This window comes from Homo sapiens, chromosome 11 (assembly GCF_000001405.40).
Source record: "Homo sapiens chromosome 11, GRCh38.p14 Primary Assembly".
In the NCBI taxonomy this organism is placed as follows: domain Eukaryota; kingdom Metazoa; phylum Chordata; class Mammalia; order Primates; family Hominidae; genus Homo; species Homo sapiens.
In genome coordinates this window covers 40,793,375-40,821,049 of record NC_000011.10, presented here as the reverse complement: position 1 = coordinate 40,821,049, position 27,675 = coordinate 40,793,375, and the positions used below count along the sequence as shown (strand labels likewise).

The window sequence follows — 27,675 nt, the reverse complement described above, 5'->3', positions numbered from 1 at the left end:
TAATATTGTTTTCTCTATTTCAATTTAGGATTTTCTGTTGCTACTATGTAGAAATAAAATTAAATTTTGTATATTGACTTTGTATTTTGCAAAGTTATTTTACTTCTTTGTTTGTTCCAGTGGACTTTTTGTGTGAATTTCTTGGGATTTTCTATACACAAGATTATTTTGTCTGCAATTTTACTTCTTCCTCTATAATCTAGATGTCTTTTAGTTATTTATTTGTCTGACTACACTGATCAGAAACTCCAGTATTATGTTGACTAGAAAGGACAAGAGCATATTTCTTTGTCTTCTTTCTAATGTTAGAATGACAGGATTTGGTTGTAGGTTTGTAAATGCTTATTGTCAAGATGAAGGTGTTTACTTCTATTCCTAGTTTTCTGATAATTTTTAAAATGAATAAATGTTAGATATTGTTAAATGCTTTTGCTGCACTTATAAAGATAATAATTTTGTTCTTTATTCTATTGATGTTGTATATAAAATGAATTTATTTTCAAAGATTGAAATAACCTTGGATTTATAGGATAAACCCCACTTTATAATGAATGTAATGTGTTTTACTCCCTACTCTTCATACTGGCTAATTTATTTGAACTATATTCAGATTTCCTGATTTTTCTTTCTGCCACATCTAATCTACTGTGAAACATCTCTACTACATTTTTCTTTCATTTTTTGAGCTTTTCAGCTCGAGAATTTTCATTTCTGAAAAAATATGTATAATTACTTTTATGACACTATTTTCAATTTATTGCTGTCTTGCTTCCTTTACATCATGTAAAAATGTTTCCACTTCTTAGACAATATTTATAATACTTCTTTCAAGCATTTGTCTGCTAAATCAAACATGAGTACATTACTTAGACAGTTTCTATTGACTATTTTTCTATTTCGATCCCTTTAATATGGCTGTTACTTTTCTGTTTCATTATATTTCTTATACCTTTTTGTTGAAAATCAGACATTTTATAGAATGTGCTACAGCAATGCTAGATTTCTATTTTTGCTTTTTTAAAATGAAGTTTGTTGACATTAGTGGTTTTTTGTGTCTTTTTTTTAATTTAGTCACTTTTCTGGATTAATTCTGAAATTTGTCTTCCCTCTGGTATGTAGTTGCTGATGTTTCTGCTCAGATGTTTTAAAATTAATTCTTGATTTTACTTTTAACTCTAGCTTCCTAGAGTTTTTCTATGTATCTTGAGTACGTTAATAATTAGCCAATGACTGATCAGAAATTATGCTTAACCATCTCAGAACAGTAACCCTTCAGTTTTCTGCAGATGCAGTGTATGGTGAATCACATTCAAATTTCAGCCAATTTTCAAGCCTTCCCTGGCATTTATTTTCTGCTGGACCCTTTTGCATCTCCTGTGTTTATGCACACAGCTTCTGGGTTGACCAGGACTATGCGGCTAGCTTAGAAGCTCCTAATTTTTAACTACATATATGTATAGCCTCAGTCAGGAATATATTTTCCCCAACCATGCAATGTGAAGCTTTGAAAATCCATTGTAATTTCTACTAACAACACCAATAGGCTTTGTGGGCATTGCTGCCAACATCAACTACAACAAAGGTGCCAGTCCTCCTGGCTTTACTCTGCTCTGGCTGAATCTCCATCCAGTGGTGGAAGTGGGGAAGTAGCAGAATTCCGGGGCAAGAACATTATAAAATCCTCTTCTTACCTGTTCTTCTGCAGTTTTTCATCTGTAAATGCCTCTCAGATTTTTTTATGACTTTGGTTTATTTCCAGATTGTTGAACTAGTTATTTTCATCAATTCTGTGTAGTTGTAGAGTGGGTTTTTGCAGAAGGTATTTTGCCTATCTTCTTAATTGCCCATATCTGGATGTCCTACCAACTCTTCTGCACATATTTGTGAATCATTTTATTGAGAATGGTTTCACCATTAGATAACTTTTGAAACCTAATGTAAAGAAAAAACAGGATTACGTATCATTGGATACCTCCTTCCTTTCAGATTTTCTTTAAAAGTTTCATAGGAAATGAATCATCAATTTTTCCTAAAACTGAAAATTTCAGTGTCATTGGTTCAGGATATATATAGGCATTATCCATATGTATTATATCTACCTGTTCTGTTTTGTAATCTTTCACTGTAACAAAAGTGAAATGGTTTATTTGTGTAGAGTAAGACCTCAGTGAAGTGACAGGCTAAGAAAATGGGTGCAGTATTATTTAGCTAGGTATGAATTGGTTAACAAAATACAAATTAAACTCTTTTAGAAATTATGAACCTGATTCCTTAATTTAGTATGTATCCTATTGATTTAGATATATCTTGGGTAACTGATGATATGTAAGGTTTTTGAGTAGTATTTCAACATGAAATCTCGATATAAAATAATATGTTTAAAAAGAGAAGGCATAGAATATTGGTCTTAAAATTATTTTGAAAAATGTGCTTATATTTGTTTTTAGGAAGTAAATCATTTTTTTCCTTATCATAGAAACTGAACAAAAATAGGAGAAAGGAGTTAACCTAATCTTTCTTATTATTAGTGATATGATGATAATAGCACTTTATGTTATTAAACAACTGACAGTTTAAAAAATAAGCTCAACTAACTTTTATAAACCAGAGCTTATTTGATATATTTAGCAATTTAGTGTTGCAAGATATACCAAGTGAAACTTATTAGGTACCTATTCACACACTGAGCCAATAATTGGATATATAAAGATGGAAGGGAAAGTCTTAGCATCCAGGAACTTGCGATCCTTAGTGGGAATAAAACACTAAGTAGACAATTACAGTGCAATGGTTTGTGTCACAAGAATGATTTTCACAGATGTTATGGATGTAACCTGAGGAGAAGCATCTTAACCTTGGTTTCCTAAGTAAGATAGTGCTAGAATATAAACAATATAGGTAAAGATGAATGAAAAAGATGAAAGAAGAGAGAAGAAACCTTATTTTATAGTTTTTATAAGTCAGGCATTGATCAAGGCACTCCACTTAAGAAATCTTGTTTAAACAAGGCAACTACTCAATAAAGAGCTTTTCATAATCTCAGGGAAAAACAAACAAACAAACCAATTAAATCCTGAAGCCCATTAGGCATAATTAACTTGGGTGAATTGCTGACATGATTTATGTGTGTGCAAAGATTTGCAGACAGCAATGTGTGTTATGCTGATAGAAAAGCATAGAAGTATAGAAGGAAGCTTTATAAGTATTGTTATGATAAAGTTAGGGAAAAGTGAAGGCTTGACCTAAGGCACTGGCAGTGAGAAAAGAGAAAAAATAGAGTTGTAAGCATTTGAGGAGTCAGCCAGCATGGGTGAAAGTTGATGAGTTAAACTTAACTTTTAATGTAAGGAAGAGATAAGATTCAAAAGTGATTACCAGGTTTCTGACTTGGGCAAATTACTGGATGATGTTTGTCATTCGTTTAGGAAAAGAGAGCAGGAGAAGAAGCAAAATTTGGATGGGAGTGGGATATTACGGACCAGTAACTAGATGTCCCCAGTAAAATGCTAACATGTTCTCACTAAACCATGCAACCCTTGCATCAACTACTAAGTTCTACTAAGACAGGTGGACTATGTCTTGCCAGAATAACCGTTATGATGCAACGCATCATATCTATCAGGGTCCTTCAGATCCCAGTATCATTATGAGTTAAAAGGATCTGAAAAACTACTAATTACTCTCAGCTTTCTTCATATAAATATCTAGCCCTTGAAAAATCATGGTCTCAGAAAGTCTCTCTGTCTGTCTGTCTCTTCTCTCTCTTTTTATTTTATTATGATGAAAAAGAGTCATTGAGGAGAGGGATATTTCAGATAGCTGTCACCTGTATTTCTTTTCAGTTAGATAAATATTATGTCAGTTTGCTGCCAAGTTCAGACACACTGGCAGGAAAGTTTTCTGAGTGAGGCAAAGGAATAACCAGGTTGGCTGTTCTAGCTTTCGATCCTTATTTATTACACCACTGCAATTTGTCTTAGAACAGAGACAGCTGTCATTATGCTAGTTTCAGATTAAGCTAACTATTGTAGACAAGGCTCCGATGGAAAAAGAGACATACTTATCAGCTTCTGCATTGTGTTCCATCCAGGAATACCTGTCTTTACGTTATAGATATCTATTGTGATAGGACCACAAGTCTTCTACCTATACGTGGAAAGCCTTTTAAAGACCTTCAGAGTCAACCCTGAATATAATATCTTTTGCAAAAGATTGAGGATTAAAAAACATCAAAATACCCTATAGAATACTAGTTGTAATATACTTATCAATTTTAAGGTTATTTAAAAGTTGTTTTCTAAGCCTAGAAATCTCCCAGTTATTTGCATTTAAATGGCCCTCTAAAACTTACCCAACAATGGAAATTGGTCGCCAGTAGATATCATCCATATTGTCCTATTATATCCACGAGTATAATGCTAAATGATGCTAATGATGATCATACTCTCTATAAGAATGTGTCTAAAAAACACAGTAACTATCTTATTAACACATGCATTATAAATGAATCAAGGTGTGAAGCCAGTGGTTATCATTCTTGCTTTTTGCACACAACATAACACCTTCCTCTCCAATTGAAAAAAGAAAAAAGACAAACTTCAGGCAGAGTAGTTTACAAAGAGCCTCTGGATATCTGTTGTGAATCTGTGACAGGATAGGACAGCTGGTTTTGGTTTTCACATTTACTCATGGGTACCTTCTACTGTGCTTTCTGCTCTCTGATCTCAATGGAGAGTGAAGAGTAAAATCCAGCAATCTGTTGGCACACAGATGTGGAGCTATTGTCAAGCTTTTGCTTTTACATCCCAGTTCCTCCTGATAACCTCTAGTGGCCTAGAATTAATGATCTTCCATTTGCATCCCAAAAAGAAACATGATAGTCAATACGTGTAAAACTTATAAACTGTCAGCAAACCTCAACTTTGGTCTCTTTGAGCTTTACTTACTCCTTTACCAGGTGGACCCAGGTCTCTCATTTAGTAAAAGTGGCTGATTTCTGTCCTCTTAATAGTGGTAGGACAAACTGGGGGGAAGTCCTCTTAGCTCTTTGCTTTCTCAGTTACTCACTTCGTGAAATCGCATTAAATAATTTTGACTACATGTATAGAAAGCATCTTATATTCTATTAAGAAAGATATGTAGTTATTAGCTTTAATGCTAGGAGGAAAAATGTAGGTCATTTCTCTATTAGAACACATAATCATATAGCACTGGTAAAAGTGTCACTTTTATAACAAGCTCCTTTTCTTGATGTTTATGTGACAACGAGTTGGACTAGAGTTAAAGAGGAAGGTGCAGGTCAACCAGTGCACTGAGCTGATGGCATTCCCACTGAATTTGACAGAACAGTAACAACAGGAGTCAATTTTAATGAGACTGGTGCTCCTTGGGAAGGACATATGCCATAAATTATCAGCTCATGGAAGAGGCAGCAAAAAAGGAGCCACAAAGGAAATTTTTTAAAAGTATGGGTGGTAGAATAAGGTGACTTCCCATGGAGAGCAATCAGGGCTCTTGAGAAAATCATCCAAGACCTGCAAGGTAAAAAATTACTGACTTCAAAAGAGAATTGGAATGGAGTATCTATCAAATGTGTTTTGGTAAATAAGGTCTGAGGGAAGGGTATTGATATGGTTTGGCTGTGGCCCACCCAAATCTCATCTTAAATTGTAGCTCCCATAATCCCCACATGTTGTGGGAGGGACCTGGTGAGTGGTAATTGAATTAAGGGGCAAGTTTTTCCTGTGCTGTTCTTACGATAGTGAATAAGTCTCACAAAATCTGATGGTTTTGTAAAGGGAGGTCCCCTACACATGCTCTCTTGACTGCCACCATGTAAGACATGACTTCGCTCCTCATTCACCTTGTGCCATGAGAGTGAGGTCTCCCCAGTCATCTGAAACTGTGAGTCAGTTAAACCTCTTTCCTTTATAAATTACCAAGTCTTGTGTATGTCTTTGTTAGCAGTGTGAGAATGGACTAATACAGTAAATTGGTCCTATTAGAGTGTGTGCTACTGGAAAGATACCCAAAAATGTGGAAGCGACTTTGGAACTGGGTAACAGGCAGAGGATGGAACAGTTTGGAGTTCTCAGAAGAGGACAGAAAAATATGGGAATGTTTGGAACTTCCTAAAGATTGTTGAATAGCTTTGACCAAAGTGCTGATAGTATTATAGACAATGAAGTACAGGTTGAAGTGGTCTCAGATGGAAATGAGGAACTTGTTGGGAACTGGAGTAAATGTCACTTTTGCTATGTTTTAGCAAAGAGACTGGTGGCATTTTGCCCCTGCCCTAGAGATTTGTAAAACTTTGAGCTTGAGAGAGATGATTTAGGGTATCTGGCAGAAGAAATTTCTAAGTGGCAAAGCATTCGAGATGAAGCAGAGCATAAAAGTCTGAAAAATTTGCAGATGACAATGCAATAGAAAAGAAAAAACCCATTTTCTGGGGAGAAATTCAAGCCTGCTGCAGAAATTTGCACAAGGAACAAGGAACCAAATGTGAATCACCAAGACAATGGAGAAAATGTCTCCAGGGCATGTCAGAGACCTTTGCAGCAGCCCCTCCCATCACAGGCATGGAGGCATAGGAGGGAAAAATGGTTTCATGGGTCAAGTCCAGGGTCCCCCTACTGTGTGCAGTGTAGGGACTTGGTGCCCTGCGTCCCAGCCATTCTAGCCATGGCTAAAAGGAGCCAAGGTACAGCTCAAGCCATGGCTTCAGAGGGTGCAAGCCTCAAGCCTTGGCAGCTTTGATGTGGTATTGACCATATTGCTGCTACACAGAAGTCAAGAATTGAGGTTTGGGAACCTCCACCTAGATTTCAGAAGATGTATGGAAATGCCTGAATGTTCAGGCAGCAACTTGCTGCAGGAGTGGAGCCCTCATAGAGAACCTCTGATAGGTCAGGGCAGAAGGGAAATGTGGGGTTGGAGCCCCCACACAGAGTTGCAATGGAGAAACTGCCTAGTGGAACCGTGAGAAGAGGGCCACTGACAGCTTGCACTGTGCACCTGGAAAAGACGCTGACTCAATGCTAGCCTGTGAAAGCAGCCAGGAGAAGGGCTCTACCCTGCAAAGCCACAGGGGTGGATCTGTCCAAAGTCATGGGTGACCACCTCTTGCATCAACATGCCCTGGATATGAGATATGGAGTCAAAGCAGATTATTTTGGAACTGTCCAATTATTTGGAACATTATTAAGGTTTAATGACTGTCCTATTTGATTTTGGACTTGTGTGGGGCCAGTAGCCCCTTCGTTTTGCCAGTTTCTCCCATTTGGAATGGGTGCATTTATCCAATGCTGATACCCTCATTGTATCTAGTAAGTAACTATCGTGCTTTTGATTTTACAGGATCATAGGCAGATGAGACATTGGACTGTGGACTCTTAAGTTAATGCTGAAATAAGTTAAGACTTTGGGGACTATTGGGAAGGCATGATTGGTTTTGAAATGTGAGAACATGAGATTTGGGAGGGGCCAGGGTGGAATGATGTGGTTTGGCTGTGTCCCCACCCAAATCTCATCTTGAATTGTAATAATCCCCACATGTCAAGGGTGGAGCCAGGTATAGATAATTGAATCATGGGGCAGTTTTCCCCATAATGTTACTGTAATAATTAATAAGCCTTACAAGATCTGATGGTTTTATAAATGGGAGTTCCCCTGCACAAGCTCTCTGCCCTGCTGCCATGTAAGACATGTCTTTGCTCCTCCTTTGCCTTCCGCCATGATTATGAGGCCCCTCCAGCCACATGAAACTGTGAGTCAATTAAACCTCTTTCCTTTATAAATTATCCAGTCTCAGGTATGTCTTTATTAGCAGCATGAGAACAGACTAATACAGGCATGTACTGTAATATAAGAAAGAAGGAATTCTGCTATGGGTTCCAAAATTTGCTGGGGTAACCTGGGCAATTAGATTTTATTCTGGCATCATTTTGTAACTGTACATACTGAGCAAACTCAACCTTGCATGAAATGATCAAGTCAGAGATCTTAAGAAAATTGGGGAATTTTATAGAACTTTAAAATTCAAATCATGTATTTCAAGATGTTAATGTGAAGAAATGCACTGTATATCATCATGTATTTTTTTTCCACTTTCTCTCCCTTTTTCTAGAATCTAGGGACTTCTATAATTTGTTTCTCTTTCAGATTCACTTGCTCACTTCTCTTTTTTTATCCAAATGTTTTGCAGATGTGTTATAAACAAATAGGTAACCGAAGGTTTCTCTTGCCTTTTGGTGCCTTACTCTTTGATTATTCTAATGTTAAAAATTACAATTTTCCATTATCCACAGAAGCTGCTTTTAGGATAAATGAAAATTAAATTCTATACTGGGATGTATGCCATTAGAGTCTATTTTTCCTATATGATATCTTATCACATTTTCATTTTTGTGGCTTAGAGCTTAGGGCAAATATCTTTCCTATTCTTATTTTTATGTTTGAGAAGAATATTACATAATATCTCTTAAATGCTCCAGGGCAGGCTTTTGGAAATCATTAAGAATCTTATATTTTAACATAGAGAACCAAAAGCAATGGTTACATTGAGGGCCAAGTTTCTTTTCTAAAGCCGAATTTATCAAATATTATCACTATCATTTTATTATCATTTCTATTATTAATACCATTGCTGTTATTTATTGGGCAAACATAATCTGCTGATACATTCACAAGATGTATATAACTGTCTGCATTCTATAAAGGAGAAGACTGTGTATCAGTCAGAGGCCTAAGTCACATAACAAGTGAGAGTTGCTAAATCAGGATGGAAACCTAGTTATATGTGATTTGAAAACCCATGTGCTTTCTACTACAGTCTGTTCCTACAAATTAGGATTAATAATAGAAATAAGCATCTCCTTTTCCACTACATTTGACATTTACTGAATTTAATAATCTTTGGGAGGTTGTAACATAAGCTAACAAAAATTACAGACAATTACATGTTAAACTGGGCAGTACTTACAATGCAATAGCAATTAGAGAGAAGGATGATAAGTGAAATAATAGGGAAAAGGTGCATGAAGGTTGGAATTAAACTAAGTCTCATTAATAATAATGGCTGCATTCTGAAAGGGCCATTGATTTCTATATATCTGATCTTCTTGGCATCCTGGCAGAGTTGCTATTATCCTCCCTATCTCACATATAAGGACATTGAAACCCATGAATGATCCTCTCTACCTCACATACAAGGACAACCCAAGGGAGCAGCCTGCCTAAAGTAGATGCCATTTGGCCGGGTGTGATGGCTCATGCCTGTAATCCCAGCACTTTGGGAGGCTGAGGCAGGCATATTGCTTGAGCTCAGAGTTTGAGACCAGCTTGGGCAACATGGTGAAACCCTTCTCTACTAAAATATAAAAAATTAGCTGGGCATGGTGGTGTGTGCCTGTAGTCCCAGCTACTCAGAAGGCTGAGGCAGGAGAATTGCTTGAATCCAGGAGGCAGAGGTTGCAGTGAGCTGAGGTAACACCACTGCACTCTAGTCTGGCTGACAGAGAGAGAATCCATCTCAAAAAAAAGAGTAGATGCCATTTATATATTAATTCAAATATATTTATTGATAGCTTCCCTCTGGCATGCACTGTACCAGGCTCTTAGGAAACAGCTGTGAACAGGATACATAATGTTCCTGTCCTCAAGGTACTTATGTTCTTGTACAAGCACAGTTTATCAGTTATTAAATATAATAAGCTTGAGGTACAATCAACATAATTAATTCACATAATCTTAGGTGCTATGGAGGAAATAAAGTAAGAAATTATAATAGTGATTAGTACTTTAGATAGTGGAGTTGGAGAGGGCCTCTTTTAGAAGGTCACATTTGAAGTGAGATCTGTGTGAAGAAAAGAGTCAGACATTAAAGGAAAAAAAAGAAAAAGAAAGCTTGAGAAATATCTTCCAGATGAAGGAAGAACACAATTAAACATCCATAGGAGAGAATCAAAGTGCCATGCTCAAGGAATTAAAAGATCTCCAGGATTTCTGGAATGCAGAGTACAAGTTTGGAGAGAAAGACAGAGGTCTGATTATGCAGGGCTTTGCAGAACATGGGAAGAGTTTGAATTTTATTCTAAGTGACACTGGAAGACATTGGAAAACTTAAAGCAAGAAAATGTTAGTATTGGATATAAATTTTTGGAAAAAAGTATTCTGGACTGTAAAGGGTTATGTGGGTACAGGCAGATCATTTAGCAGGCCCCAGTAGTGAACAACAATTGTGACAATGGAATTGACGAAAGTTGGTGGATATATTTTGGGCACCAAACCAAAAAGACATGTTAATTAATTAGGAGTAGGGGTGATAGTAATAGAAGAATTAAGATTTAACCGTTAAGTATTTGGTGCAAGCCCTCAGATAGATGTTGGTGCCCTTTTCTGATTTGAAGAAGGGAATGGAAGGAGCAATTTGCAGAAATGGGAGGTAAGATACCAAGAGTACCATCTGAGATACACTCATCTTGAAATGTTATTAGACATCCAATGCAAGACACCGTGTTTAAAAATGAGTCTAACCTCAAGAGAAAGATCAGGACTGAAGTTAAAAATTTGGTTATTAGCTTACAGATGTTATTTAAAACTATTGGACAAAATAAGATCATCTTGGAAGAAAGTTTAGATAAAAAACTGATGAGGGCTTCCCCCAGTGTTGGGGTACTCCTACATTCATAACTTAAACAGAGAAGGAGATAACCAAGGCAACTGAGATATTGCTGGTGAAATAGCTGAGAGAACCATGGTGACACAGAAGTCAAGAAAAGACTGTATTTCCACAAGGAGCAAGTATTCATGTGTCTCAATTTTTGCTGCAAGGTCAATTAGATAATGGAAGATATAGAAACATTGGATTTATCCACACCAAGGTCACTGGTAACCTGAACAATAGTGATTTGAGTAAACTGGTTGAGTTGGAAATCCATACAAAGTCTAATAAAAAAACAAACAACAAGGAAGTCAGGGAATGGAGGTAATAAATAGAGACAAAGGTTTTAAAAATATTTGCTGTGAGGAAAATGCCTAAATGAAGCAATAGGAAAGGATGTGGAGTAAAGAAAGAGTAATTTATGCCTCTATTTTGAACAGTGTTATGACTTCAAACCATTATTTTTGTACATTTCAATCTCTTAGAGTACTAAAAGTCATATAAGTCTTGGAAATAAAATGAAAGTCAAAATGAGGTCTTCCTATTTCAGGGAGAATAGTATAAGCAAACCTTAAGAAATTTAATAACAACCACCATTTACTGAGAGTCTGCACTTTGTAAGGCATGATGCCAGGATCTGGCAATATAGAGACAATAAATTAATAAATTTATTCAAAATATACAGTTGAGTGAGCACGTGCAACATGTCAACATAATTCTAGGTGCTGAAGTTTCAATAGTGAAACAAACAATACGTTGCTTTCCTTATGAGGCTATTTTTTTTCTGTGTGGAGGAGGGGAAACAGACAGTAAATGAATGAGTAGAATATCTACTTACAGCAAAAAGTTCTATAGAAAAAAATGCAGCAGGGGAGGGATATAGGTAGGACACAGAGGTGGGGAGATGTAGAAATTTTTAAGTATAATTAAGAAAACTACAGTGAAAAAAGTTTGAACAAAAATATGACAAATAATATTGAGAAATAGTGATATCTGTGTGAAAAATAGGCACAGGCAAAGGAGAATGCAATCCAAAGGGCCTTGAAGTAGGATCTTCCCAGGTCAAGTATAAAAAGTAGGAGACAGAGAACGTGTCAGATGCTTATCTCTATGCAGTTCATTCTTGATTTTGACAAGAGCAGTTCAGCAGCATAGTGGAGAAGGAAGCCAGGTTGAAATGGAGAGAGAATTAGGTGCAGGTAGAAAACACAGTAAACTATTTTGAGAAGTTTTACTGTAAAGGGAAGCAGAGAATTGAGATGGTTGTTGGAAGACAGTGAAGTCTGGAGAGGGATTTTTTTCAAAGACAGAATTTTAACTGGATGTTTGTACACTGATGGGAATTGTCCAGCAGAAAAGGAAGAACCAGTGAGCATCAGAGAGGAATAACTGCTGAAGCTAAGTCCCAGGAGAGGGGAGAGAGGTTGGGTAGTGATTAAAAAGACAAATAAGTGAAAAGTTTGGCATTAGGTATACAGACAAATTGACACACCCACAGGAAGAAAGGTAGAATAGGGCTCAGATGCATGTAGATATGTGATGAGAACTCAGAAACACTATTTTTCATCAATCCTCTGTTTAGTCAGAGAGAAAGCAAGTTATTAGCTGAGATGCTGAAGAAAGAGACTTTGGAAATTTGATGAGAAGAGAGAAAGTATGAAACAGCTATTTAAAAAGTGAAAGGATCAGAAATATAGGATTGACCGGCGGTACTGGGTCTCCCTTGACCTTGGTGGTCATGCATTTTAAGTGAGGCAAGTCAGGGCAGTTCCATGAATTTTTCCAGCTGTGCTCCGTTGTGCAGAGGAGAAGGCAGGGGAGACAGAGAGCACCCTTTACTTTATAACAGGAGAGAGAAAGAGAGAAGAAAATAAAATATAAATAGTAAAACAAAAATATAGAATGTGTAAGTGCTACAATTGAATTACTTCAGATATAGTGAGAGTTCAGAATTGAGAGCAAGAACTCTGGCTGACTTGAGTAATAGGTATAGGAAGGTTAGACACAGAAAGGAATGCTTAAAGCATTAATAAATAAGTAGGGGTGGAGAACATGTATTTCTGAAAGTGCTGATGAATTTATCATTATCATATAATTTTATTATCAATCAAAATCAAGATAGAAAGTATAATTTTAGCAGTCTAGAAATAGTCATAATAATGGAAACAGTAATGATAATTATGATAATATAAAATATCAGATTATATATACTATAGGATACACAATATAATTTATAATTTTACTACATTTCTTACTCTTGTATCATCTATTATTGTTTAGTGAGCATTCTCAGAAGCACATTTACATATAGCTATTATTCTTCCCATTTTACAAATAAGGAAGCCAAGACACAGGTTATTAAGTCACTTGCTCATGATAAAAAAACTGGTAATTAGCAGAAAGAGGGTTCAGATCCAGATGTACCTGATGTAATTTTTTTCCAAAATAATCAAAAATATTATTCCCAGGCATGGAATTCTAGGCTACTGCACCCTGGCAGAGTTAAGAGCAAAGGTGCTTATCAGTCCTGTTGAATGTGGTATCCAGCAATATAATATCTAAATCAAAGCTTTGTCTTAAGATCCCATACAATTAGAATAGCATGTTGATTTTCTCGCCATATGCTGGCAAAGTTGAGATCTGAATGTTGAATTACTCTAAGCATGAGATGCTGTATCTTAAAACCAAAGGTTCAAATGGAATACTAAAATCCGTGCAGAAAACTGCAATGCCTGCTAGTTTCATAGTATTTACTGCTTTGGATGACAGCTCCATTTGCTCCTCTGAACAGCAGACTTTAATTGTGTCACAGAAAGGAATGGCACAGTCTTCAAGGCTTCTGTTCTGTCAGAAAGAGTTTGACAATATACAACTTAGTTGTCCTTTACACAACAAGGTCAATGTTGGAGTAAAGCTGTTTCCATCAATAATGAGAGAGAGGGATCAGTGAAGATGAAATAAAGAAACAACTGGTGTGCTCACGGTTTGTTTGTTTCCCTCTGTCTTCATGGTTAGACCTACTATTACAGGGTCTGGGGATGACAATAAAAACTGACAGGTGAGAGATGTCCCTTGAAGCCTGTCGCAGGACTAGTAGCACCAACAGGGTACAGTGTGAAAATTAAGTGTCTCTGTCTTCTGAACCTGTTGAAATGTATCTCTGACCAACTATGAAATTGACTTTTATTATTGACAACTTATCAGTCTATTGGAAAAAACTGTGTGGGGGTGAGGAGTAAAAGTTGACTGAAGTTGGAGTGAGGTGCCCTGAAAGTTAGCTGTATATTTTGAAAACAACCATATCCAGTTTTCTTAAAGGGATGAAGAGAAAATCAAAAGAAAGCATGCACTTGGGTCATTAAAAATATAATATAAATGTAGCTCTCTTTGATGAATTTGAGAAAAAAAGTAGAGCAGTTTTTTTTTAATCCTACTCAACTCTCACAAATGCAAAAACTCTCTCCTCTTAATTTTCTAGAATGTAGATTATGCAAGAACATTTTTAATTCAAGACTGGCTATACGCTGTCTCCTAGCAGACATCAGGAATATGCCTTTCTTCCTGCCTGCATAGTGGTATGTTTTTGAGAAATACTGATAGATTCTAATAGTAGATGTAGTAAGCAGATGTATACATTTCTGGGACTAAAATGAAGTAAAATATTCTAAGTCAAAATACACACAGATATGTGACTCACATGTAAATATATATTTGTGATTTGGGCAGATTTATCAAAAATTATTGCAACAATATTTGTGGTCTTATCCACTTTTCCAAAATTTTGTTCCATCAATAGCAGGTTTTGTTTCCCCTCTCTTGGAAAAGGAGGGGGTCATTGTGACTGTCCCGATTCTTGTGGATTATAGTGGATGTGGTGCTGCATGGCTTCAGAGGTTAAGTCCTAAAAAGTTATGTAGCTTCTGCTTGTCTCCCTCTTGGGGCGTTTGCCCCAGCAGCTCTGAGCTGCCATAGCAGACAGACCAGCAATAGAGATGATACAGCTAGAGCTACAAATAAAGCTGGAGGTACAGATGGACGTGGACATGGACATGGACAGATAGATGGAGACAGACATGAAGAGAAGGAAAATCCAAGGAACCCTAGCTCTTCTGTCTCTCTGCTATTTGAGCCTTCTCATCCCAAGCTCCAGACATATGAGCAAATAATCCTTCAGATAATTCTAATCTCAGCCTTCAAGTGGCCTAAATTTTTTAAGGCCACTAAATTTTGAGGTGGTTTGTCACACAGCATTAGATAATGACAACAGTCGTAACATTTTTTAAAATTTTATAAAAATGAAGGTTTCAGTGTATGCATTTAGAAATTATACGTAGCAAAACTATATACTACTGAAGCTGGGTGGGACATTAGGGGCCATTTGGAGTAATTAAATTCCTTTGTAGGACACTGATTTTCCCAGCAGTTCCATTGTTGTACTCAAAAGGCAAGGACAGAACAACAAGAAATCTGCTGAGTCCTAGGACCATGCTCTTTCTTGATGAACATTATGAAACCCTATTTTTTTTTCTGAGTCATACCTACATAAATAGAATGAATGTGATGGTCTTATAAACACCATACTCTTTACATCTCTGAAGCTGTTTACCAATAGTGATTAATACTAAAATTGAATACTGCTTGCCTGAGAACTAGAATCATAACAGATATATCTGTGTTTTTTTGTGCAGTTAATATAAGAAAGTGAAGAACAAGACTCCCTAGTGTCAACAAGAGACTTGGGAAGAGAACTTTACTGTAGGTTGAAGGTGGAGATAATGTCTTACTTATCGTCACACTCTTGAAACTAGTGTTTAGTACACCCAGGGTTAATTTATTTTGTATAGATATGTCTATCACTAGAATATTTACATAGTCTCAGAACTGCATAAAAATAGAGTATTAAGATATGTTTATTTACAAAAAAAAGAAAAGTGACTCAAATCAATCTGGTTTAAACAATGAATGGCTGTCACAATTGAAAATTCCAGAGGGCAATTTGACTGTAAGTGACGATTTGTCCAATTGGTCAAGTGGTAGGACTAGAACAAGTTTTCCTCCCCCTTTTCCACTTTTGAGATTTAGTTTTAGAGTCTGCTTTACTGTCAGCCCACTTTTTCTGTCTTTGGCCCAAGATAGCTGCCATAGGATCCTAAATCTGCATGATCCCTAATCTCAGCCACTCAGCAAACATCCTTTTTCTCAAGGGAGTAAGTTAGGTGATGTAAATTTCATTGATTCAATTTCTGGGACATAGTAATGGAATTGAATATCAGCTTAGGCTCAGGCTTCATTGTTGGACATGAAGTAACCAAAGCATTCCTTGTAGCATGGAGGGATAGGTTTTATACTTCTCACTCAATTAAAATATTATCATTATAGAAAGGTGAGCTGGACACTGGGTGGCCAAGCCAAGAAATGTACACTCCAAAGATCCATTTAGGAATCAATGTATTCCAATATCTAAAAAACCCAGCCCCATCCAATGAGTTAATTTTTCCTTTTTATGGATTACTTTAAGCATTTCTTTTGACCAATGCAATGGAGTACTAATTATTTATGGAAATGTTTCTCTACATAAGAGTTTTTGCACTTTTATAGCTTTAGAGAGTGAGAAAAAAAAATAATTTCAAGTCATCTGGAATATCCCCAGTGTTCTCTGCTGTAAAATCTTTGGATGAAGTAAAGTAATAACTTGGGAGGCTTGAGAATCAACTGGCTTATGATTTATCCAACTGCAAATTAGACTAGTTCAACTGGGTAATAAGAATAATAATAATACATGCTTGGGGAACGTAATACACAGTGGAAGAATAAAGGGAGCATTTTCCTCTGTTTCCACAGGCTTCAGAGAAGGCTTATTAGCCAAGTGACTGATGTGCTACTTGTGTCATTAAACACGTGCGGAATGCTGTGGTTATGAAACTACTTCAATTAGGTGGTGCACATCCCAGGGAAGTGAGGAGCTTAAAGAATATTTGGGTCATAGGAAAAGTCAAATTTCTTGAAAGCATATTTTTAAACCAAGGCTCTAGAAATATTCTTATTCTACGGATGTATTTCTTATTCTAGTGAATATTTTTGCATTTTAATTTAGGGTAAGAATGAGCTCAGTATATAGATACAGCTATCAAATTTGTAAGCAAATGGAGCCTATGAGAAGATTGGTGTAAGGATGTGGAATCTATGAGACTCCATTTATAAGCAAGGGGAGTCTATGAGAAGATTGGTATTTTTAGTAAAATTAGGAAAAGGGCCATTTTTACTAAAATTAGTAAAAGATCCTTCCCTCAAAAGAGAAGGAAAAATAGAAAACCATTTATATAATAATTCAAACAAAATTTTAATTATTTGATTTTTAGGCAGCAGTAAGAATGAATAAGACCAAGTATTTGATAGTACAACAGAGTGACTATAGTCAATAATAATTTAATTGTACATTTAAAAATATCTAAAAAAGTACAATTGGATTGTTTGTAACACAAAGGATAAATGCTTGAGTGGATAGATAGTCCATTCTCCATTATGTGATTATTATGCATTGCATGCCTGTATCAAAATATCTCATGTACCCCATAAATATATACCTACTATGTACTCATAAAAATTAAAAATTAGGCCGGGCGTGGTGGCTCACGCCTGTAATCCCAGCACTTTGGGAGGCCGAGGCGGGTGGACCACGAGGTCAGGAGATCGAGACCATCCTTTTAGTAGAGACGGTGAAACCCCATCTGGGTGACAGAGCGAGACTCTTTCTCAAAAAAATAAATAAATTCATTAATTAATTAAAAATTAAATATTAAAAAAAATGACCATATAGACAATTTTTAATTATTTTAAAAGTTTGGGAGATAGAGAAGACTTTTCCTTATTCTCAATGGATTAAGTTAGATGATGCATTTTATTGAACCAATTTCTGGGACATAGTAATGGAATTGATAATAGTTAAGGGTTTTAGGTTTAGCACAAAAATCACAACTGATCTAAGCCATGTTTCTTTGTTTGGCTAGCTGTTTACTTTCAGTTAAGGGGCAGGCTCTCATGTTTGGACCAAGCTTGTAGGTTTGTAAACCCTGGTCCTCTCATATAGCATTTGATATGACTTGGGGACACATTACTTAATCTTTTTGTGCCTCCATTTCCTCATATGTGAAATAAGAAAAATAACGATAGTAACTGCTTAGGACTGTTGATGAATTAAATATGTTAATATATGTAGCCTGTTTTCAACAGTACCTGTCACATAGCAAATATTACAGAAATATTAAGTACTTAACTGGTAGCTTGCCTGGTTATCAAATCATAGGTTGAAATCCATCTTCCTTTTCCTTTAGAATTTTGCAGATAGTGATCCATTTACCCTAATTATAGAATTTTATTAAATTACACTGCCATGATAATCATGAATCCTTTTTGCATTGCCTTTTCTCTTGCAAGGTTTTTAAGATTTTCTTTTGCTCCAACATTTGAAATTCACAAAGATGTTCCTTGGTATGAGCCTTTCTTCAACCACTGTGATGGGCAATGTCAGTGTCCTCTAAATTTGGAAACTAATAGACTTTACTTCTGGGAATTTTTATTAAGTTATCACTTTGATCGTTTCTTCTTCCCATATGTATTCTTCACAGTTTTGGCAACTCCTATTATTTGGATATTTATCTTCAAGGGATAATGCTTAAATTTCTGTTTTTTCTCACATTTTCTATGTCTTTTCATTTACTTTCTATTCTGAAATGTTTATTCTACTTTATTCTACAATGTTCAATACATGCAAGGGACTTTGAAAGTTCCTGGTACACATTAAGGGTTAAAGAAATAATGGCTTTCTTTTCCTCTTTCTTTTCTTCCTCCTTATCCTCCTCTTCCTTATCTTTTTTTTTTGCTTATTCTAACCTCCTAAGAATTATGTCCAATTTCTGGGTGTTTTATTAAATGCTCTGGTTTCAGCAGCATTTCTCTCCATTCAGTATATGTGGACCCCTGTTCTCAGTCCAGGAAAATATTAAATCATGTGTAAGTGAACCAGACTGGTTTTGTTTTTTTTTAAAATTACCATTTATTAAATACCCACTGTGTAGCAGGAAATCAACTAAACTGGCTTCCTTGAAAGCACTGAAACCAGTAGTCAAAACAACCCCATAAGATAATTTTGGTCTTATATAATTTTACAATAAGGACATCTCCTAATGTGTGCAGGAGTCTGATGCCTCAGCAGTTGTGATTAGCCTGGCTGCACTTGCACAGTTCTGACAATGGAATGTAGCTGGAATTCTCACTAGGGAAGGACAGAAGAAGATGCAAGCTTGTTGATTTACTCAGGTACAGGTATTTTTTATTTCAGTGAGCACAGAGGAAAATGAATATGTTGGGGAAGAAAAGCCTGGTGGATGTGTAGTCTGTATTAGTCCTCCCTGCAGTAAATGATGTACCGAAAATGCATTTTTCTCCATGTGAAGGAGTGACATATTTTAATTTAGATTCTCCCTTCTTGACCTCCCAATGACTTTCCATCAAATGAAATCATATTTATGTATGTGATTAATGCAGGCATGCCATGATTTGTAACTTTGGGGAGTTTTCATTCATTTATTTAGCCATCATTTCACTTACTCTATTACTTTTAGGTCAAAAAAAAATTTCTGGTACTCAACTGTTTGTGACCTAAAAAATGACAATTGCATAGATTTTGAAATAATACCTATTGAATTCTTTCTAAAAGTAACTGTGAGAGATTAAAAAATTATTAGATATAAACATAGATGGTATTAACAAGAAGATTATACATTTCTCTATATATACAACAAATGTTGTTTGAGCACATCCTATGCATTGAACTCAAAGGATACAGCATACAGTGGTAAACAAAATAGGTGCAGTCCATGCCCACATGGGGGTAAAAATCTTTTGGAGGAATAAAAATACACTTAAACCACTGTAACATAAGAAAGAAGTAATTGCTATAAAGTGGTATTGGAGTTCAAAAGAGAATGATGTAGGTCCTCCTAAAGAGATTCAGAAAAGGTTTCATATAGAAGGTGGTATAAAGGTGTGCCTTGAATATTGGTTAGAATAGTGAGGAAGGGCACACCAGCTGGAGGGAATGGCAAATATACCCAGGTGCATGCTTGATTCCTGTGGAAAATAGATAAAATTTTTCTCATAAATTGCTTATAGTGACTCAAGGGAGCAAAATATAAATAAGTAATTTTAATAAGAGGGAAGAATATGTGAGTTTACTGTAGGTATATCTACATTTGTTTTTCTTTATGCGAGAGTGATTCATTGTGACTATGGAAATCAGGAAGAACTTAGTCAAGACATTGTCATCTGATTTACTTAGAGTGCGGAATATAATTAACGTGGGTGAATAATTGAAAACAAGCCCTCTAAGTTGAAGGAAAGACAATGGGGAAGGCAAGGTAGTGAAGAAGTTTATGATGTATTTAAGGAACAAGATTATGATGTGATGGTCCTGGAGCTCACAGATAATAGAGATGAGGCTGTTCATATAGGTTGGAATAACTGAAGGAGAAGTTTGATATCTTATGCAGAATAGCTTGTATTATATTCAATAGGACATCAATGAAAGTATCTGAAAAAGCTTTTTTTTTCTTCTGAAAGAGCTAAGACACAGAAGAAGAAAATACACTGCCTAGATGATCTTTGTATTAAAATAGAGTGGCATTCAGTGTGGTATAGTGGCAAGAACAGTGAACTTGGAGTTGGAAGGTACAGGCAGATTGACTAATGCCTCTAAAGCTTAATTTCCTCAACCCTTCAAAATACAGAGTTAATTATTCCTAATTTTGCCTAATTTATAAGGCCATTGTCAATATATACAAGACGATGGTAACATCTGTTAGAAAAATGCAAAAGTGTGATTGTGAGTTGAAATTTTAAAAAGGTAACTTCGGAAAAGGGCGAATGACTTAGTAATCATCCAGTCTCCATACATGTTCACAAAATATGGGTATTGATGAAGAGTGTATTATATCATCCATGGCCACCATTGAATTCCCCCTCAAACAATAAATGCTGTCATGGATAAGCATTGTCCTCAACATTCCCCCAGTTAGAAGGGACAACAGACAGGGAAACAAAATAGTCATGTTTTGCCAGGACTTCTTTTAATTGTTTATAAGGACTTTGCCAATAGTTTCTTAGTCATTGCATCACATGGACCAGATGTAAGGTGAAGACACCCTCACAATCAGTGGGAAAGGAGAGCTTATAAAAAGAAAACTAAAAAACTTAAACAAAATTAATTGAGAAAACACTTAATTAGGAATTTATAGGATTAGATAACTAGTCCAATTCTGACTTCAATATCTGTACTAAAACATTGTTCTTTTTCCCTCTTTTTTTCTCCTCTGACTTCTTTTCTTAGCTACATGTTTTAGAAAATTTATGTTGTCTTTTAATGTGTGTTACCTGAAAATAGACTGTCTAGATACTGGCTGTTAAAATACAAGAATACAAGCCAAGGATGATCTAGCCAGTATATTTCCACTTCTGAAAATCTTAATTGTGCAGGACTTGTCATCTTTTTACAAAGAGAAAATCTGAGATCAGAGAAGTTATTGTGCCCAAAGACATATCAAAAAGTAAGTGACTATACTACGACCAGATGTAGTGGCTCATGCCTGTATTCCAAGCACTTTGGGAGGCCGAGGCAGGTGAATCACTTGAGGCAGGAATTCAAGACCAGCCTGGCCAACATGGCAAAACCCCTTCTCTACTAAAAATACAAGAATTAGCCGGGCATGGTGTTGCATGCCTGCAATCCCAGCTACTTGGGATACTGAGGCATGAGATTCACCTGAGCCCAGGAGGCATCACTACACTCCAGCCTGGGTGACAGAGTGAGACTCTGACTCAAAAAAATAATAAATAAATAAAGTAAGAGACTGTATTAGGATTCAAATCTAGGTTAATGTGACTGCAAGGTCAATGATCTTTTAACTCTACCATGTTGTTTTTTTATACATAAAACATAAGAGAGGACTTTTCTGTCCAGTATTTTTTGTTTCATTTTTTTAATTGACAAATAATTATAAATATTTATGGAGTACAATGTGATGTTTTGATACATTTATATCCACATATATTATCAGAAAACAATGCAAAGGTACACAAAAATTAAGGTTAGAGAATTGCTTGTGATGAGAAAAATAAGCAGAAAATTGCATAATTTAAAAAACCTATTTGTAGGGGGCTGATGAAGTAAAAACTAGTCATCTATGAAGTAAAATATTACATATGACTTAAAAACACTGAGGAAAGCTTATATGTATTTGTAAACAAAAGTTTCTAGGATTTGTTGCTACCTATATGCAAAGAAGAATTGTGAGAACAATGTGATTTTATTTCACAAAAATTATATTTTACCATATTTGTTTTTAAGCATACAAAATTTATGGAAGGATATAAAAGAAACTTATAATACAGCAGAGCATGGTGGCTCACGCTCGTAATCCCAGCAATTTAGGAGGCCAAGACAGGTGGATCACCTGAGGTCAGGAGTTTAAGAACAGCCTGGCCAACATGGTGAAACCCTGTCTCTATTAAAAATGCAAAAACTAGCTGAGTATGGTGGCAGGTGCCTGTAATCCCAGCTACTTGGGAGGCTGAGGCAGGAGAATCACTTGAACCCAGTAGGCAGAGGTTGCAGTGAACTGAGGTCGTGCTATTGTACTCCAGCCTGGGCAGCAAGAGTGAAACTCCATCTCAAAAAAAAAAAAAAAGAAAGAAAGAAACTTAAAAAGAAACATATAATACTGATAACCTCTAGAAATAGAGAAACAGATACTTTTATTATGCATCTATAGTATTGTTATTGATTTTATTACATGACTATTACTTATAATTTTAAATATTAAAATTAGGCAACATAAATGGAGAAAGATGGTTTTTAAAAGTACTAATAACTTTCAAATTCCATGTTTGAAATCAGAAAACTAACTTAACTCCAAAACACTGTTTCTCAGCAAGCTTCCCCTATGGCCAAAATTCAGGACAATTGCCTGTGTATAAAAAATGTGTGTGTATGTGATGTTGCTTTCAGAGTGACAGCTGGATGGGGAAAACTGGTCAAAGGCTGACCCACAGCATATGGTCTCACAGGTTTCTTGATTTGTGCACACATAGCATTCTTGGCAAGGTCAAGGGCAGGCAAGAAAGTGATTCATTAAATTTTTGTGGTTGATGTGCATTTGATGTGTACTGCAAGTCAGCATCTTACACATGCAGACCTCTGCTCCAGCCCTTTGTCTAATGAACAGGGACTCTTTCAAGTAAGGGACTTGAAAATTGCCTATGTAGGAGCAAAGAGCTGCCAGTACAGATTATAGACCCAATAGGAATATAACTGTTCAACCTCTAGTTGCGATTTTTGGCAAAAATATCTTATAATTAATAATAGTATTTCCAAATCTGAGTTTACTCCTACATACTTTAGGGAATTTGGCTAAATAACAGTGTTAATATTCTAATTTGTTATTTGTCATGTAGATGGAGTGTGGTGTTGTATAATACTTTGTATAGATGCAGCAAATACTAAGTCTCTGTTCCCAAAAAGCTTATCATCATTTAAACACATTTATCTTTGTGGTCAAGTTAAATGGCAATCCATCTACAAAATTTTATTTACAGGAAAGGTTAATATTAGCTAAAGGATCAAGAGAAAGTCTCAATGTTGAAAAAAGTATACAATAACTTCTTAGAGCAGTATAAGGTAATTTTTGATCCTTTTATTCCCCCTTTACTCATCTTGTAGAGATTTTTGAGTCCTGAGAAATTGGAAATACATTTGATTCCACATAAAAGTTATCACTGTAGTCTATATAATAAAATACTCTCTTTTTGTTCTTGTTTTCCTAACCTACTAACTGCAGATAGTCTTTAAGACTCTCGTATTCTGTATTTACTTCTTTAATGGTTTCATTTTTGACCCAAATCCCTATGATTTCCAAAACTGTACATCTCCAACTAGATGTCCCAAGATCTGTCCAGGATCTTGCCTTAATTTGCCATAGGATCTCTTCTCTCAGATGCCCCACAGTAACACCTAACCTTTCAAAAACCAAATTCATTTGAGCTCATTGCCTACTCCAGCCCACCCCATACTCTCCATTTCTATTTTTATATCCCAATCAGAGATATCTGTATCTTTCTTAGTTCAGAGCTATGGAGTCATTTTTCACCAGACCTTCTCTATCCTTTAAAAATTTTTTTCTCTCCAATTTGTTAATTATCTCCCTTCTTAAGCATGTGTCTTTCCATGGTTGTTACTATTGTTTAAATTCTCATTTTCCTAAAAATAATCTAGAAATACTATCCAAATTATTCTCCACTGTCTACTCCAATGATTCATCTTATCCAGAGATATTGCTCAAGTTCTATAGCGTGTGATAGTAATAGTGGTCTATCAAAAGTCCTGCTTATGGCTTAGGCGTGGTGGCTCATGCCTGTAACCCAGCACTTGGGGAGGCCGAGGACGGCAGCTCACTTAAGGTCAGGTGTTCAAGACCAGACTGACTAACAGGGTGAGACTCCATCTCTACTAAAAATACCAAAATTAGCCAGGCATCGTGGTGCATGCCTGTAATCCCAGTTACTCATGTGGCTGAGGCAGGAGAGTCGGTTGAACCCAGGAGGCAGAGGTTACAGTGAGCCAAGGTCGCACCATTGCACTCCAGCCTGTGGGACACAACAAGACTCTGTCTCAAAATAAAAAAAAAAAAAAAAAAAAAAAAGAGTTCTGCTTAGCCCTCTTTTGTTTTCCCTAAACCAGCTATCAGATTTAATTTGTATTGTTCCCTTCTACACCGACTACATTTAGACACCCTGGTCCTTTGCACTAGTGATTCTTGCTGTTGTACATGCCTGACTTATTAATGCCATCAAGCAAATACTCTATGTCTTTCAGAATCTGGCTAAAGTGGCCTCTTTCACCCATGTATTTTCACTTTATTTTTTGTCCTAGGCTCATTTGTTACTTTTACTACAAGCCTGTCCTTAGGTGGATTTATATGAACTTCAGAGTTTACCCTGCACCACGAACTTTGACATGTAACTAAACAAAATGCATGGTCCTGTTATTTTGAACATCTGCTCAATTCTAAGCTCTTTCGGAGATGAGACATTTGTTCCATCCCCTTACTATCATCTATTTTAATGGTTTTGTATCCAATACTGCCCAAGCTCCCACTCAGGGCATGCATAGGAATTAGACAAATTTACTGTTTAGGTGAACATATTTTTTATAAATAAATCCCCAAAACCTGGGTATAATACCAAAGCACCCATATTCTCCAGTTCCTTGAATATTTGAAGAAAAACATCATTCTAGGTACCTAAGCATTTTCATTCTATGATCAGAGTAAACTTATAGATAATATATAGACGTATTATCATTTGGGGCTAAGAACACATTTTTCCCTCAATTATTAGTTCTCTTTGGCAGTTTACAACTATTTTATGTTCCTGCCTTCCTCCTACATGGAGGTGGCCCTATTAATTCTTAAAGCGTTACAGGGCTAGTTAAAAGATTTTGAATATTCTTCTGTAATTTACACATTACAGAACTTGGTCTTTCATAATCCACAAAGTAAGTTCTTACATCTTTTGAAATTTTTGACAATTATATTTCGTCTCTTTTGAACATTAAGGATATATTATTAATACTACCTCAAAATAAACAGCTTGTTTTATAAGAGGACAAGTGGATTTCTTTTTTTAAACTGCCTATGTCAAAATTTCTACCTAACACAAAGCAACCCTTCTGGGGCCTTTCTGCATAATTACCGTTTCTATTTTTTCCTATCCTTGTTTTATTTTATTTTATTTATTTATTTATTTTGAGACGGAGTCTCGCTCTGTCGCCCAGGCTGGAGTGCAGTGGCATGATCTCGGCTCATTGCAAGCTCCGCCTCCTGGGTTCACGCCATTCTCCTGCCTCAGTCTCCCGAGTAGCTGGGACTACAGGCACCCGCCACCACGCCTGGCTAATTTTTTTTGTATTTTTAATAGAGAGAGGGTTTCACCGTGTTAGCCAGGATGGTCTCGATCTCCTGAACTCGTGATCCACCAGCCTCACCCTCCCAAAGTGCTAGGATTACAGGCGTGAGCCACCGCGCCCAGTCTTTCCTTCCCTTCTAATGGTAGCATATATGGATGTGGAGAAGTAAAGATTCTATGTCTGGCAATTACTGCCTGTGCTTTTTATTACCTGGTATAGTGTTCTTTTACTTGTTTTAGAGTATGTTATTGCTTTGTAAGCCTGCAAGTCATTGACTGTTACCAATGAAAGGAGATCATGATGAGAAATACAGTTAAAACACTACAATCTGAAGTGATGGGAAGATTTGGCTTAGAGAAGTTCTCTATAGTAAAAGATATGATGTCTAACTAAGAATTGAGTAAGAGGGAAGGAAATTTGCCATTTTAGGAGAAAATTAATTAGAAGCACTCAATATATCATTCTTGTGTCACCTGCCCAAACCTTGATCCTAGGCCAGATATCAAACTTTATCTGCTGATATTGGGACTTACAGAAGTGTTGATACTAAGCCCTGGTTACGGACTTTGAGTCGTGATCTTGTTTCCCTACACTCCTGGCTTCCCTAGGTTATTTGATGAGTCCTACTCATATTCTTATAGCACTCAACTGGTTGTTCTATCAGTATTACTCATAGGAATTGGTGACATAAATTTTTCTAACACCTCCCAAGGCCCTTTAGAAAGTAGTACTTCCAACACTTGCAGGATAGAAACCTATTTATTTGTAATTACCTAGTTCAACAGACGGAAACAGCGTCTATTCTCTACCCTCCATTGTATCCAAGGAAAGGATATTTCTTACAGACAAAATTGCTACAAAAATCATGAGTCCTGTGATGGAGAATCAGAGATTTGATGGCTAGTATATCTCCTTGAACAAATAGTACATGTCTGAGCATTCCTTTATCCTCCGATCCCTGTCCGCCACATTTTTTTTTTTTTTTTTTTTTTTTTTTGCTGGCGTTTATGAGAGTGGCTTTGTTCTTTGTATGTCTTAAAAATATATTCTTTTCTTTATTCATGTTTATTCACTAAATGCCTATGGCCCAGACTTTCTCGTTTGTTCATTCTTAGTCTCTCAGAATGTATTGCTTGTCCTTTTCTGCATTCAACTAATAGAAGATTCCTGAACCATAATTATGCTATTTACGGGGGACTGCTTTGTTAAGCTACTTCCTTGAAAAAGGATATTCCAAGATTCTGTTGGTCATTAATTCAGACAGGATGCATATCTAGAAACAGGAAGTTTATTTTTAAAAAGTTTTTTTTCACATCAGAGATCTCACAAAGAAAAAGAAGCCTAGTCAGCCATATGAAGAAGCCTAGTCAGCTTATATGAAGTCTAGTGAGTTTATATGAAGATAATAGAGAAAGAAGGCAGCCTAGTCAGTTTATACGAAGATAAGAGAGAAGGAAGGCAGCTAGTAAGAGTATTTTTAAAGTACATTCCAGATACTTTATTTCTAATTACAGAATTGTTTGTGTCCATGATAGAGAATGTGATAAGTACATAAAAGCACAAAGAAGTTGAAAATGATTTATATTACCACCACTAAAATATAAAATATATCCAATGCTATAATATCTTGGTATATACCTTTTTAAATATATGCCACACATTCCGGTTGAAATTATGGACTCTCTTTCCAGACTGTCTGCATTCAAATCACAGCTCTGTCACTTCCTAAGAATAAAACTGGGATTTACTTGACCTCTCTGTGCCTCAGTTTCCATATTTGTAAAATAAGAGTCAAAGTAGTACTGGCCTATTTGTTTTGTTTGTTGTGAGTATTAAATGAGTTAATACATGCAAAGCTTTTCAAATTCTGACTGGTTACAGTAATGTAGTTTTAATTGCTTTTACTGACAAAGATGATGTTACTATATAATTAATGGATTTGAAAACTCTGTGTGGCTTGTCTTCCAATTGCCTAAAAAACTACTTTTTATACCAG

At 36.0% G+C, this 27,675-nt stretch overlaps 1 protein-coding gene across 18 annotated transcripts in view, besides 2 other annotated features; it reads left to right on the top strand.

Moving 5' to 3' along the window:
- The window catches only part of LRRC4C (leucine rich repeat containing 4C), a 1,345,454-nt gene that overhangs the window by 638,603 nt on the left and 679,176 nt on the right, over positions 1 to 27,675 (top strand). The window lies entirely within an intron of this gene.
- Positions 1,497 to 1,791: a silencer, noted in NCBI's record as "tiled region #9582; K562 Repressive non-DNase unmatched - State 24:Quies". NCBI's record gives its function as "represses a minimal TATA promoter and a strong SV40 promoter by Sharpr-MPRA in K562 cells {active_cell/tissue: K562}" and the evidence as "EXISTENCE:reporter gene assay evidence [ECO:0000049][PMID:27701403]".
- Positions 25,431 to 25,616: a silencer, noted in NCBI's record as "fragment chr11:40816984-40817169 (GRCh37/hg19 assembly coordinates)". NCBI's record gives its function as "represses an EF-1alpha promoter that drives an FKBP-Casp9 reporter gene in an ReSE screen in K562 erythroleukemia cells {active_cell/tissue: K562}" and the evidence as "EXISTENCE:reporter gene assay evidence [ECO:0000049][PMID:32094911]".